The following is a 15,164-nucleotide window of genomic DNA, read 5'->3' as shown; positions in this document are numbered from 1 at the left end:
CATGTTTAATTCAGGGCTGCTCTTCAGCCTCAGTCCAGGAATGGGAAGACACATGGAGCAGACCTGAACCTACCCTGCAGTGGAACAGTCACAGCAGCAGCTAACCAAAGGCCACCAACACGAGTGAGAGATTAAGAAACAAAACAAAATCAAGTGAGAGACTAATATTTACTGTTGTGAGTTACTGAGATTTTTTGATTATTTGTTACACAAAGCGCAACCTAGCAAAAGGTGATTCATACAAAACCCATCACCAAAGCCTTCTTTGTATTAATGGCAGTTCCACCTAACTAAATATTCTGCCCAGTTGGAAACTCCAAAGTCATCCATTTTCCCCTTCCACTCAGTTATTAACTCTATAATCTTTGCTCCTCAGGTATTTATGCCCCCCTCCTACATACAACTCTAACTTTGACTCCTTCATCTCAAGACTCAACTCTCCACTGTCACCTAGGTCTAGTCTTTTCCCTATATCAATCCATCCTCCACATTGCCACCACACTGATGATTCTACCATATCCATAGGATCATGCCACTTATCTACTTAAATATTTTAATGGACAACCTGCCAAATGGAATCTAAATGTGGCTTTTGCATGGAAGATCCTCCTCTATCTGGCCCCATAATCAATCAATCCCATCACCAGACACTATTCAATGAATTCCATGTCCTAGACATGGAATTCAAGTCCTCACACCAGATATACACTTTCATAACTCAGTACCTATGTTCTTGTAACTCTCTTGGTTTATACAGTCTTACCTTCCATCCTGCACCCTGAACTTGGCCAGCTCTTACCCAAGATTCATCTCACCCATTACTTCCTATCGGTAGCTTTCTGTAACCACCTTCTCAAGCTTTAGACAACCCTTCTTACACTGTACCACAGTTACCTGCTTTCTTGTCCATCTTCCCTACAAAATTATTAGTTCCATTCCTACGCATCCATGCCAAATATCTAAAATAGTGCCTAGACCACAATAACCACTTAATAATTCTGAATTAAACATTCTGGACTGACAAACAATTGTGTGTTGTTTGCACTATTTAGATGTTATCTGTATAGGCTTAGAAATCGTGGGAACACAGTGAAATTTTCCAGCTCTGATATTTCGCAAGTTTTGAGTTTTTTGGCCTTATGATGCCTCCTAATTCCAAGAAAAGCCACTCAAAGATACTGTGGGATATTTTCTATTAACATAACCAACTTTTTTTTTTTTTTTTTTTTGAGACAGAGTTCGCTCTTGTTGCCAAGGCTGGAGTGCAATGGCACGATCTCAGCTCACTGCAACCTCCGCCTCCCAAGTTCAAGCGATTCCCCTGCCTCAGCCTCCCAGGTAGCTGGGATTACAGGCGCGCGCCACCATGCCCGGCTAATTTTTGTATTCTTAGTAGAGATGGGGTTTCACCACGTTGGCCAGGCTGTTCTCGAACTCCTGATCTCAGGTAATCCACCCGCCAGGGCCTCCCAAAGCGCTGGGATTACAGGCGTGAGCCACTGGGCTCGGCCATCATAATCAACTTTTAAACTCAAATTTCCTAAGCACAGCGCCCCTCGTTGGGCTGCTCTAGGCCAGTGGTTCCCAAAGCTGGCTGCCAAAAGTCCCCTAATGAGTTCACTAACAATATAAACACAGCGACTCCACCTGAGACCCACAAGGTCCAGAGTAGGGCTCAGGCAGCTATTCAGCTAGCTCCCCAGGTGGCAATTCTAAACCAGGCTTTAAGAACCACTGATTTCAAAGACACAAAGTACAGTGCCAGCTCTAAAAGTGAACTAAACTTTCTTGTATCTGTTAGGCTTTTCTTCTTCAAACTTCACGTGCGTCACAGAATCAACTGGGGCTCCGGACAAGAGAGCAGCAGTTGTTGAAGCGTGCCCCTCCTCCACTTGCTTCCTAGCCTGGCACCGGCGGCCAGGCCACCGGGGCGCTCAGCCTACCTGGTAGAGGGCAGAGCCCAAGTCCGGCTGGGTGCCCAGCGAGGCCACCGAGTCCCCGTGATAGGCGCGCGGCCCGGCGGGAGAGGCGCGGGCACACGGCCGCAGGGCTAACCTCAGGACGGCCCACATGGCGGCGGGCACCGAGCGAGAGAGCGGCCCACGCTGGCCTGGAGCCGGTGCTTTCCCCTGCCGCTTCCCTGGCTGGGGCGGAAGCTGAGCTCAGGTCCTTGCAGCCCCAGAGAAGGTTTCTCTGATTCTCAGGCCTGTCCACACACGTGCCTAAGCGCGCCGCCCGCGATTGGTCAAGCCGCGCCACGCCCCCTGACCCAGCCAATAAGGGACAGAGCCTCAGCCCCGCGAGGTCGCGTCTAGTCCCGAGCGCAGGAGAGCAGGTCTCCCCGGCGGATCGACCCTCACGAAGCGGTGCGGCAGTGAGAGAGCTGCGGTTGGGCTTGGATTGGTGTTGTGTTGACACAGCGATAGATAATATCACGATAGTGACTGTACCTAAGGCAGGAGAATAAGTCTGGAAGCAGGGAACCTAAGGCTGTCTCACGCTGACTTCCTAGAGCTAAACTGAAAGGAAAACCCTAACTTTCCATGCCTAAGTAACAAAAGGACCAAAGGCTACTCCCTTTGCAAACCCCCCCACCTTTTCCGCAGGGCAGATAGGAAATTGGCTGTCCCCGACAAATCAGACTTACTGCTGGTGGAGGCTTGCTTTGCCAAGTTTGAACCTTAACTCCAGCCTCTGAATGGTTGCTGTCCACAACCAATCAGACTGATTGGGGGTCCAGTCTTCGTTTGCATAGAAGTATAACTTTGTAATTTCACCCTAGCCTCTGACTGCTTGCTTCTTGCAACCAATCGGGTTTGAGGTGAGCATAAAATGGCCAATAGGAAACTTCTAGTGGGTATTTGGACCCAAGAAGATTCTATATCCGGGCCCTTGAGCTCTGCTCGGTCCGCTCCCACATTGTGGAGTGCACTTTCGTTTTCGGTAAATCCCTGCTTTCGTTCTTTCGTTGCCTTGTTCTTTCTTTGCTTTGCTGGGCGTTTTGTCCAATTCTTTGTTCACAATGCCAAGAACCTGGACAACTTGCAGTCACAACCCCCAGTGACACACCAACAACATGAGTGAATCGCATCTAACACGTGCTTGCGAACAGCACAACAAGCCTGTTGTCCTTTCACTGGAGACCTTAAACATTCTTCTGATTATTTTCGCTATGTAGTTATTTTTATTTTTTACTTTATTTCATTTTTTGAGACAGGGCCTCACTCTGTCGCCCAGGCTGCAATGCAGTGGCACGATCACAGCTCGCTGAATCCTTGACCTCCCACCTCAGCCTTTCCAGTAGCTGAGACTACAGGTTTGTGCCACCAAGCCCGGCTAATTTTTTATTTTTGTAGGGGTTTCACCATGTTGGCTATGCTGGTCTTGAACTCCTGGACTCAAGCGATCTGCCCGCCACAGCCTCCCAAAGTGCTGGGATTACAGACATGAGCCACCACACCAGGCACTATGTAGTGACAGATTGTGGACATCAGCACTGTGGTCTTAAATAAAGGACTCCAAATATACCCATAAAAATTAAAACATTCTATACAAAATGCCTTGAACTTAAGGTTTTTCATTCACATATTTATTGAGCACTTACTACTTCTACTCCATTGGTTGCTTAGTGGGGCAGAGTAAAGGGGGAGGATGGGGTAGAGAAAGGGTGCGTCTACACCTGGAGGTAAACTTAGGTTCAGACTTCAAGGTACTTATAAGAAAATAATACAAATGGCCACATGATTTCTTACTGAACTGTGTAGGACAGACATTAAAGGAACAGAATGCAATTGGGAAAGGGTTGCAGCTGAGCCTTGCAGAAGCGTTGAGAGTGGACTGAGCAATGAACATGGCCAGGCTTTGTGCAAATGGAGGAGAGCATGAGCTAAACTGCAAAGGTATGATTTACACTGTGCTTGCCTCCCATGGTCAACAGAAAAAAAGGCCAGTAAAAACTGACTTTTCATATGTATCAGGGTATCAGAAGAGAGGGTTTGATATTTTAATTGCCACACTTTATTTTTCTCTAAATAGTTCTTCAATGATGCAAAGTACTTAAAATCACCACCCGAAGACAGAAAAGACACAATAGGATATGATTCCTTGCTTTCTTTAAAAGTCATACCTGTTTTGGCCGGGTGCAGTGGCTCATGCCTATCATCCTAGCACTTTGGAAGGCCAAGGCAGGTGGATTATCTGAGGTCAGAAGTTTGAGAGCAGCCTGGCCAACATGGTGGAACCTCATCTCTACTAAGAATACAAAAATTAGCCAGGCATAGTATCACGTGCCTGTAATCCCAGCTACCTGGGAGGCTGAGGCAGGAGAATCGCTGGAACCCGAGAGGCAGAGTCTGCAGTGAGCCGACATGGCACCACTGCACTCCAGCCTGGGTGACAGAGCAAGACTCTGTCTCAAAAAAAAAAAAAAAAAAAGTCATACATGTTTCTTATTTCTTGTAACTTTTGTTACAAGAAGCTCTTTGGAAATGTATAATGTTCCCAGAACAGCTAAGTAGAAAAATGCAAAAGGTGAAGTGCAAATGCACAGAAGGCCAAAAGCAGTCACCTAGCATCTGTTAGTGTCCAGTGTCTCTCTACCCCACTATTGAGATTACAAGGAACATAATCTTTGCCATCTCTGATTTTTTAAAATAATGTTTTATTGAGGCCAGGAACTTGAAACTAGCCTAGGCAACATAGTGAGCCCATGTCTCTGAAAAATAAAAATAGCCATGCACAGTGGCATGTGCTTGTAGTCCTAGCTACTTGGAGGGTGAGGTGAGAGAATCACTTGAGTCCAGGAGTTTGAGGCTGCAGTGGGCCATGATCTTGCCAAGCACTTCAGCCTGAGTGACAAGAGCTAGACCCTGTCTCTAAAAAAAACAATAAAAATAAAATAAAAATAAAGTAAAATAATGTTTTTATTTTATTTATTTATTTATTTATTTTTCTGAGAGGGAGTCTCGCTCTGTCGCCCAGGCTGGAGTGCAGTGGCACGATCTCGGCTCACTGCAAGCTCCGCCTCCCGGGTTCATGCCATTCTCCTGCCTCAGCCTCCCGAGTAGCTGGGACTACAGGTGCCCGCCACCACACCTGGCTAATTTTTCATATTTTTAGTAGAAACCGGGTTTCACCGTGTTAGCCAGGATGGTCTCGATCTCCTGACCTCGTGATCCACCCACCTCGGCCTCCCAAAGTGCTGGGATTACAGGCGTGAGCCACCGCGCCTGGCCAAAATAATGTTTTATATAATAAAAATAAGAGAATTAATTGAAAAATGTAACCGCCAGGGCTGATCTCTGCAGCCTGGTGCGCTGCCTTTCATCTCACCCTCAGTTCCTTCCCATGCATTGCTCATTCCCATTGGCTGCCATCTTCCACTTGCTCTCCTTCCTTTATCCGCACCGTTCCCTCTGCCCAGGGCATCTTTCCACGACCAGACTTGTCCGTTCCATCTTCTCCACCTGGTGAGCCCATACACATCCTTTAGGACTTGGCTCAGGAATCTCCTACTCCAGAAGCCCTCCCTGACCCCACCTCATTACCTCTTTCTCCCTTCAACAGGCCTCTATTGTGGCTCGGGTCAGCACTTGTTGTTAGGGCTCATTTAGTTTCTCCAACTTGGGGTCTTGTCAGTGTCATCATTTATGGCCTATGCTGGGCATATTACAGACGCTAAATTTGTTGAATGAATACATAAAAAATAACTGCTCTGGAATCAGAGCAAGGAGACATTCCAGGACACCTAAGGGAGGGTTATTTAAAGGCCAGGCAAGAAGCTGGGAGGTCAGGATGAGCAGTTAGACCTGGCAGGCTCTCCTTTGCTATCAAGTCTCTTCTGTAGAAACTTAATGACCTTACCTGGGATATCACATGGTATTACTTTGGTTGTACTCTATTGGATTCAAGGGGAGGGGACATAGACCCCACCACTCAATGGAAGGAGTGTCAAGGCCACTGGCAGAAAAGATGAGAGACATTGTGTGACTATCTTTGGAAAACATGACTGACATGCCAGCACATGCACTCATGTTTATACATTTATCCCAATCCAACCTTATATTTGTTTTCCTTGGCGTAACAATCCATTTCCATATTCCCTAACTCTTGCCAATACACACTGGCAAGAAACTATCTCTTTCTGGGCCACGTTCAGTACTTTTTGGTTTGCACTGGAATAACTAACTTCTGTTAAGATCCAGAGGCAAGGAGGCAGGGTAGGATCAGTCCCTTACAAGAACTAGCATCAGCTCATAAGGCAACTGCCCCAGATGAAGCGACTAAGTGCCTTTTACACAGGGAAAGGCTGGTCAGGAATGGGGAGTGGATATGAGGGTAGGTTGCCTCCACTCTGAGAAAAGCTCAAGGGGATTTGGGCATTTGAGAGTCTGGGTCTTGACCACATCTGCCCAAATGTGTCCATCCTATTTCTCAGCTTTCCATTCCTTCCTGTGTAGTGTCCTTATATCATACTGTACCTTTCATTGACCCTTCAACTCCCTTCTTGTCAAATCCTGGCTTGATTCTCGGCCAAACTGCCCTGCATCTACAGAAGATAATAGACTCCAAGCTGTGATAAAGGCTTTTTTACTTTTCACTATTATAAGAATCTACTCAAGGTAAATAAAATTACGTGTGCATACAAAAACTTGAACAAAAATATTTATAACAGCTTTATTTGTAATACACAAAATCTCTAAACAACCCAAATGTCCATTAACAGATGAATGAATAAGCAAATTATGGTAAATCCATATGACACAATACTGCCTGCAATAAAAATGATGTAGGGCACGGTAGCTCACACCTACAATCCCAGCTACTTGGGAGGCTGAGGCCCTTCAGCCCAGGAGTTCAAGACCAGCCTGGGCAACACAGCAAGGCCCCACTCTTAAAAAATTAGCCTGGTATAGTGGCGCGTACCTGTAGTTCCAGCTACTTCGGAAGCCAAGGTGGGAGGATCACTTGAGCCTAGGAAGTCAAGGCTGCAGTGAGCTATGATTGCACCACTGCACTCCAGCCTGGGCAACAGAACGAGGCCCCAACTCTTAAAAAACAAAAACAAAAACAAAAAAAGTTAGATTTTATGTAAAGCACAATCTCTAAAGGTTATCCAAGACCACTTTTAAGCTTAATGATTAACTAGAAAGACTCACAGAACTCAGAAAAGCTATGTTCAGTTATGGCTTATTACAGTGAAAGGATACAGTTTTAAATCAGCATAAAATTAGCATAAACTATCTGTCATGGCTGAAGGCCCCAGGTATACAAAAACTCTTAAAAGGCAGGACATTTATTTCAAGGGCTTATAGGTTAAGGAACTGGTCAAGTGTCAGTTCCTTCTTTGGAATGTGTACAACCCAAACCTGCTGAATTAACCCTTTATTGCACAGTTACATACTGTATGATCCCATTTTAATGAAATGAAAAGTTGTGGGCCCAGCATGGTGGCTCATGCCTGTAATCTCAGCGCTCTGGGAGGCCAAGGCAGGGGTGGGGGATCGCCTGAGCCCAGGAGTTGGAGACTAACCTGGGCAACATAGCAAAACCCAGTCTCTACAGAAACTTTTTTCAAAAAAACAGCTGAGCGTGGTGGCATGCACCTGTGGTCCCAGCTGCTTGGGAGGCTGAGATGGGAGGATTGCTTGAGCATGGGAGGTCAAGGCTGCCATGAGCTGTGCACTCCAGCCTAGGTGACCAAAAAAAAAAAAAAAAAGTTGTAGTGGAGAACAGATAAGTGGTTGTCAAGGGTTAGAGCTGGAGGAGGGAATGACTATAATTGACAGCATGAGAGTGACTTTCGGGGTGATGGAACAGCTCTGTACCCTGACTGTGGTGATGTTACATAAACCTATACATGGGATAAAATTTCATGGAATTGTATATACACATGCACTGCCTGTAAGCATGATATGTAGCCAGCTTTCTGTATCCCCAGATCTCACATCGGCAAATTCAACCAACCACAGATGGAAAATATTGGGTGGGAAGAGACAATAAAAAAATAACAATACAGGCCAGGCGCAGTGGCTCACACCTATAATCCCAGCACTTTGGAAGGCCAAGGTGGGCGGATCACTTGAGCCTAGGAGTCTGAGACCAGCCTGGGCAACATGGCGAAAAACCCATCTCTATTAAAAATACAAAAATTAGCTGGGAGTGGTGGAGCCTGTAATTCTAGCTACTCGGGGGCTGAGGCAGGAGGATCACCTAAGCCATGGGAGGTCGAGGCCATAGTGAGCTACGATCTCACCACTGTACTGCAGCCTGGGCAATAGTTGAGACCCTGTCTTAAAAAAAAAAAAACCACGCAACAATACAATAAAAAAATACAAATTTAAAATGCAGTATAATGACTATTTGCATAGCATTCGCATTTGTATTAGTTATTAGAAATAATCCAGAGAAAATTTAAAGTACATGGGAGGACGTGCATAAGACATATGCTCATACCATTTTATATAAAGGACTTGAGCATCCTGGGGTTTTGGTGGAGGAGGAGAGTTGTGGAACCAATCCTTGAGGATATTGAGAATTGGCTGTAATTTGAATAAAATCTTTAGTTAATAGTATTGCGCACATGTCAATTTCCTGGTTTTCATCATTGTACTAGGATTATATAAGATGTTCTTGGGGAAATATAATTTAAGACAAAAATTCCTGCCACAACAAAAAACCTCTCCATTAAAGTAGAAGAGAAAAAAACAATTTTAGTATTTGAAAACCTATCAAACCAGAATGTGATGTGCATTACAGGCAATCTGCTAAAGAGATTGCAAAGACAACCTAACCCTCACCCCTGGAAGGCAGAGGTTGCAGTGAGCCGAGATTGCGCTACTGCACTCCAGCTTGGGTGACGGAGTGAGACTCTGTCTCAAAAAAATAAAAAACACTCACCCCTTTATATAACCAGGCAGATGCAACCCATGTCATACATGTTTTCAAGATAAACAACTAGTCCTCAAATAAGATGACTTCACAGCACCACCTGTCACCTGCGAATCGGAGTAGTCACCTGTGTTTGTTAATTGTCTTTATCCAAAGGAAAATTAAATTTCTTATGTCTTTATGGTAGGTTTGTAACTTAACAGGTGCCAGCTGAAGTTAGGTTCCTACCCTTCCATAGGACTAGGAAATAGGAATGCTATTTCCCTCGATGATTTCATTTCAAAGAGAAGGCTTCCAGGTCCTTAAGGATAAGATTATGGGGTTGGGGAAAAAAAAAACTGACAAGAGATTTATTTATCTTTTTTTTTTTAAACTAACACCTTTCTCATGGGTTATTAAGCTTATTTAAAAAAAGATGTAGGCCGGGCATGGTGGCTCACACCTGTAATCCCAGCACTTTGGGAGGTGGAGGCAGGCGGATCACGAGCTCAGGAGATTGAGACCATCCTGGCCAACATGGTGAAACCCCGTCTCTACTAAAAATACAAAAATTAGCTGGGCATGGTGGCCCGTGCCTGTAATCTCAGCTACTTGGGAGGCTGAGACAGGAGAATAGCTTGAACCAGGGAGTCGGAGGTTGCAGTGAGCCGAGATTGTGCCATTGCACTCTAGGCTGGCGAAAGAGCGAGCCTCATAAAAGAAGATGTAAATACATCTTCAAAGGGCAGAGAAGGAATTCACAATTACAAGTTTTCTAAAGTAAACGCTCTGAAGACAGACTGGGGGATTCTTTCTTTTCTAGGAAAATTCAATTTTTAATTGTTTTTAGATTTTTATTTACACTTACATAATCATGGGGGAAAAGTGAAGGATACAAGGGGAACTTTTTGTATTATTTTTGCAACTTCTATGTGAGTCTAAAATTATTTCAAAGAAGCTATGTGCAGTGGCTTGTGCCTATTGTCCCAGCTACTTGGGAGGCCAAAGTGAGAGGATCACTTGAGCCCAAGGGTTTGAGGCCAGCCTGGGCAAATAGTGAGACTCCATCTCCAAAAAAAAAAAAAAAAAAAAAAAAAAAGAATTATAGTCAAATTGAAACATGTTGAGAGGAGAAGAGGAGATTGGGAAAGAAACAAAGAGACTAGAAATAAGGAGTACTTGGTATATACTTATGCTATATGGCTAACCTTTAAAAAATACAATATATCCACTTTATGAGAAAAGCCATACAAAATATAAAGATTAAACCATATTTTTAAAAAAGAATAAATTATTAATATATTCAACAAGGTAGATGAATCTCAAAATAATCATGCTAAGGCTGGATGCGGTGGCTCACGCCTGTAATCCCAACACTTTGGGAGGCCGAGGCAGATGGATCACCTGAGATCAGGAGTTCGAGAACAGCCTGGCCAACATGGCAAAACCCCGTCTCTACTAAAAATACAAAAATTAGCCGGGCGTGATGGCGGGCGCCTGTGATCCCAGCTACTTGGGAGGCTGAGGCAGGAGAATCACTTGAACTCAGGAGGCAGAGGCTGCAGTGAGCCAATATTGCACCACTGCACTCCAGCCGGGGCAAAAAGAGTGAAACTGTGTCTCAAAAACAAACAAACAAACAAAAAATCATGCTAAAGGGAAGAAGTGAAACCAAAAAGGAAAAAGGGTATATATGATTTCATTTATATAAAATTCTAGAAAATGCAGGCTATCCATCGTGACCAAAAGCAGATTGTTACCTTGGGATCTGGGAGGTGTTCAGGAGAGAGGGAGGAGCAGGAGGCCAGGGTAGAAGAGGCAACTTTGGAAATGATGGATATATTATTATTATTGTGGTGATGGTTTATGGGTGTACACATATATTAAAATTTAATTGTATTCTAAATATATGCAGTTTGTGTGTCAAATATAGCCAATAAAGCTATTTAAAGGAATCCCAAGCCAAGCACTCCATACCAGTTAAATGATCATTTCTGATGTTGGAACCTAGGAATGAGTATTCTTTTAAACATCTCAGGTGATTCCAGTAGGCAGCCAAGTTTGAGAATCTGCTATAAAACAGTGATTCTCAAATCGTGCTCACAGGCCAGTGGCATCAGCCTCACCCAGGAACTTGTTAGAAATGCTCATTCTTAGGCCCCAGGCTGATCTGCTGAATCATAAACTTCAGGATTGGGGCCCATAGTGGTGGCTCATGCCTGTAATCCTGTAGAGCACCTAATTCTGTCGCTGTTCGAGGCGCCACTTGTAGTCTGCCAGGATCCATGGTGGACTGAACAAAGGGGGATGAATGCGGGAATAAAGACAAGAGACAAAAGAGTATGTTTGGAAGAAGGGTCAGGGGACACCTTGCCTCTAGTGGACAAGGGCCCTGAGCTTTACACAGCCCTCCATATTTATTAGGCAAAAGAGATAGTGAGAAGGGGTGTGGAAGAAGAGGTCAGCTGCTCGGTCCAGAGTAGGCTTGCAAGACTGCATTCCTCGAACAATAGGCTCTAGATGTCCCAGTAGATAACCTCAAGGAGCCGGGGCCAGGGAGCGATGGCCCTCAGCAAACCTTCTGGGCAGGCACAGAAGCGAGTTTGCCCACATTCTGTATTCATGATAAACAGTTTGCTGTTTGATCATGTAGCCTCCAGTGGAATGCTGAGTTGGTCACCATCCCTTTGGCCTTTTTGGCTCCCAACATTTCCCCCTTCTTGTTTATGTATTAAGTGAAAGAATGTAAGGCCAGGCTGGGTAGCTTTCATTCTCCGATTGGCAGTCCATCCGATTTTACAGACTATGAACAGAAGACAGAGACAAAACAACATTATTCCAAGAACTATATATAAGATGTTAATGTGGTGCTTTAGATAGGTCCAAGGGTTGACGCTCTCCAGGCCTTGCTGGAATTCAGTCCAGTCTTCTAAAGAAGGCTGAAACTCTGGAATTTGTTTATTTAAATCAAGAATTTTGTTTTGTAATTCACCAATATCAAAGGTGATGTCGGATGTGAAAGCTCCCTGCAAATGGGCTTTCACAAGATCCCATGGATACTCACTTTGGTTATATTCTAAGTTGGTTACACAAATATGAGTGTGATTAAAATGACAACACAATTACTGCTGCAATTGCAAGCTTTGTACTTGTTCCCCTAACCATAGAATCGTGGATTATAACACTGCCACTTCAGTTTGTAACTCAGTGTTAATTTTATTCTCAAGTAGCCACCCTTGGTTGACTGTGCGTGTCCAGTTCTCCACATACTGAGCTGTTTGAATAGAACTATGCAAAGCTACAGAGGACATCACAACAGAAATTATTAGTGTGACCAAGTAAACAATAGCAAAAATTATCATGCCTAAGCCTCTACGGACACAATGAGTAAACTGAGTTAGAAGAAGTTTCACAAAATGTAAAGCAATTGTGGCAGCCCATGGCTCAGACAGATTAACAGGAATCCATAGCCCAGGGATGCAACCTAAAATCATCAAAGTAGAGATATTATGTGTTTGCAATGTGCTATGATTAATGCAGTGATATAACTGGCAAGATTTACAGGTCAATTGGGTATTGTTTACCTGGAGCTGGTCCTTCTTAGCTGCCAAAAACACATAAGGATTAAAAACACAAACTGTAAATTGAGTGGTGATATTCTTTACAAATGTAACATTAAGACTGTGTTGCTTACTATTGCTATTATTGGATAGTATTATGGCAACCCAGATGTTGCCATTCATAAATGGGAATGCTGCCTTCCATATCATCTTTTGAATTGGTCCTTTCCTCCCTAGATAATGCCACTGAGGAAGAGGCGGGCTAAAGCCTGCTCCATGCCAAGCAATCTGGGCGGCCGACTGGGATTGGATCCCAGTGTTATATAAAGAAGAAGCATTAAAAGCTTGCCACCAATGCCAGCAAAGTTTGTGCCACGATTTCTGATTTTCTTCTTTTCCATCTAATTGGCCTTTAGGTCCCCAATCCACAATGTCTCCAGTTAACATAGATTGTTTTCTAGCCAGTGGGCCAAGACACTGGGTCTATGGAGGGGGGTAGGAACTATTGAAGGGAATCCATTCTGTATAGTCAGCACAATGAAGGCGATTGGGCCAGGAATGGTTGGTTAGCACACCGGTTACATTAATATAACCAAGACTTAATAAGTACATGATTTTCCCATAGTGACTCAACCATGTGTGAGCTTGAACTGTAAGACAGCTATGGCTGAGTGATGTCTTTGTGGTGACACACAAAGGAAGTCCTTCCAATGGAGCGGTATAATTAATGACATTATTCTGAGAGTCTAACTGTTCTATGTCAGGTGGAGTTAGGGGTCCTGGAGCCCATGCTCCTTAATCATGATAAATCTTAGGAGGAGTGTCACTCCAAAGTATGGGTCATACTGCTGGGGACTTGGGAACATATGCCCAATATGTTTTTGCCTCTGCACAGGAAAAACATACTGCACAGGATATTATGGCTAACATGGCCAAGAACACGGAATCAGGGGTTTTTGTCTGGCCTTGACACTCCAGTAGTTTCTCAGCTTCCTGCGTAGTTTTCTTGAGTTGTCCCAGGTTATGGGGGTTGATGTCGTCGTGACTCTGGTCGATCTTCTCTCTGTAACAATAGTTCCTAAGTATTGGTATGGGGAAGTTGTTTGTACCTTCTCTGGAGCAATGTTGAGATTCCAATTAACAAGAGCTTACTTTACTTCTCTGAATAATTGATGCAATATTTGATCTGTAGGAGCGGCCAAAAGAGTATCAGCCATAAAATGAATGATGTAAGCAGTAGGAAACATATTCCGAGGCTCCTTTAATGCCTGTCCTACAAAATGCTGACATAGCGTAGGACTGTTAAGCATGCCTTGGGGTAAAACTCTCCATTGATAATGAGAAACAGGTTCTCTTTGATTAATAGAAGGCACAGAGAAGGCAAATTGAGGCTTATCCTTCTCATGTATGGGTATAGTAAAGAAACAGTCCTTAAGATCTATTACTACAAGAGGCCAGTCTCTTGGAATAGCCGCTGGAGATGGTAAACCTTTCTGTAAGGTGCCCATCAGTTGAATTTTTGCATTACTAGCTCTTAAATCATGCAGCAGTCACCAACTTCTGGACTTTTTTGGAATAACAAACACTGGAGAATTCCAGGGGCTAACTGACTCCTCTATGTGTCCTGCATCCAATTGTTCTTTTACTAGCTGCTGAAGTTGCGTCAGCTTCTCCCAAGATAGCGGCCATTGATCCACCCATATGGGTTTGTCACTGAGCCATTCTAATGGTAAGGCAGAGCGTGGAGAAGAAATATCAATGACCTCCATCAGAAATCCTGAGGTCCTAGCCCTTTTCTATTTGTTTTTCCAGTTATTGATATTGGATTAGGGTTTCATTGTAGGAACCTCCCCAGACCTTTTCCACTGTGATATCCCATGTTCTTCAACATTTTAAATCCTGGGTTATCAAAGTTTTCATTTGTAAGTTTCATATCCCATGCTGTAAGTCTCGACCCCATAAATTGATAGCTGTATTTGCGACATAAGGCTGAAAAGTACAAGACTGTCCATCCGGACCAAGACAAGGTAAAATCTCAGCACTTTGTTGAACACTTTGAGCTGTTTCTACTCCCAGTAAGTATGCAGAAGTTAATTGCAAGGGCCAGGATGGGGGCCAATTGTCTTTAGATATTACTGACACATCAGCTCCCATATCCATAAGCCCATAAAATTTCTTTCCTTTAATTTGTATTACACAGGTGGGTCTATTAGAGGCTACTGGTTGGGACAGACTTCCCATGTAGTTGTGCTCCCAAACCCTTTATTTCCTCATTTCTCCTTTCGTGGAGAAGGGTGTAATTTGCAGGGAATAAGCAATAATTGAGCAATATATTCTCCCAGTTCAAAAACCCAAAGATCTTGTGACATTAAAACTACTTGAATTTCTCCTTCATAATCAGAGTCAATCACTCCTGGGACTACAGTAATGCCCTGTAAGTTAAGACAGCTTTTGCCTAAAATTAGTCCCATGTATCCTGTGGGTAAAGGACCACAAATACCAGTGGGAACTTTGATGGGTTTGTCTCCCCCAACTAACATGATTCTTTCTCTAGCGGGTAGATCTAATCCTATATTTCCTGGTGTTCCTGGGGTGAAGGAACCAATGTGCCTCCGGGAACCCATCCCTGAAATGGGGTTGTGGTCTGAACTGGGAATGCCCTCATTGTTTGAGAGGCCCAGGGCCAGGCCCCGTCTCGTTTCCTGACAGGGGGGTGCCATTCTGATGAAATTTTGA

General features: G+C 44.0%; 2 protein-coding genes and 1 long non-coding RNA gene across 11 annotated transcripts in view, besides 1 other annotated feature; all 3 read right to left on the bottom strand.

Annotated features, from left to right (window-relative positions):
• Positions 1–2,158, bottom strand: part of MCCC2 (methylcrotonyl-CoA carboxylase subunit 2) — a 71,367-nt gene extending 69,209 nt beyond the window's left edge. For all 7 annotated transcript variants that reach the window (NM_022132.5, NM_001363147.1, XM_017009688.2 and 4 more), the window contains exon 1: positions 1,944–2,158. In NM_022132.5, coding sequence (NP_071415.1) covers positions 1,944–2,072 — 129 coding nt within the window. In that variant the 5' untranslated portion in view covers positions 2,073–2,158. The remainder of the gene's footprint in view (positions 1–1,943) is intronic.
• Positions 1,713–2,499: an enhancer, noted in NCBI's record as "NANOG-H3K27ac-H3K4me1 hESC enhancer chr5:70882826-70883612 (GRCh37/hg19 assembly coordinates)". NCBI's record gives its function as "activates a minimal SCP1, AML or CMV promoter by ChIP-STARR-seq in naive H9 embryonic stem cells {active_cell/tissue: H9 hESC(naive)}" and the evidence as "EXISTENCE:reporter gene assay evidence [ECO:0000049][PMID:30033119]".
• Positions 5,244–9,359, bottom strand: LOC124900999 (uncharacterized). Its single transcript, XR_007058810.1, has 4 exons — positions 8,899–9,359; positions 8,455–8,540; positions 6,925–7,048; positions 5,244–6,547 (listed from the first exon to the last, which is right to left on the bottom strand). It is a non-coding gene; the product is annotated as an uncharacterized LOC124900999 (long non-coding RNA).
• BDP1 (BDP1 general transcription factor IIIB subunit) overlaps positions 11,210–15,164 on the bottom strand; it is a 122,638-nt gene continuing 118,683 nt past the window's right edge. Inside the window, exons 40-41 of one of the 3 annotated variants that reach the window (XM_047417372.1) lie at positions 12,453–13,491; positions 11,210–11,671 (exon numbers count right to left, since the gene is read on the bottom strand). The gene's annotated coding sequence lies outside the window, so the exon portion shown is untranslated. Of the gene's footprint in view, positions 13,492–15,164 lie in introns of all 3 variants that reach the window. The other 2 variants (XM_017009630.2, XM_017009631.2) reach the window with 2 other exon arrangements.

This window comes from Homo sapiens, chromosome 5, assembly GCF_000001405.40.
Source record: "Homo sapiens chromosome 5, GRCh38.p14 Primary Assembly".
Classification (NCBI taxonomy): Eukaryota; Metazoa; Chordata; class Mammalia; order Primates; family Hominidae; genus Homo; species Homo sapiens.
The sequence above is the reverse complement of the archived record's forward strand: the minus strand, read 5'-3'. Positions and strand labels throughout refer to the sequence as shown.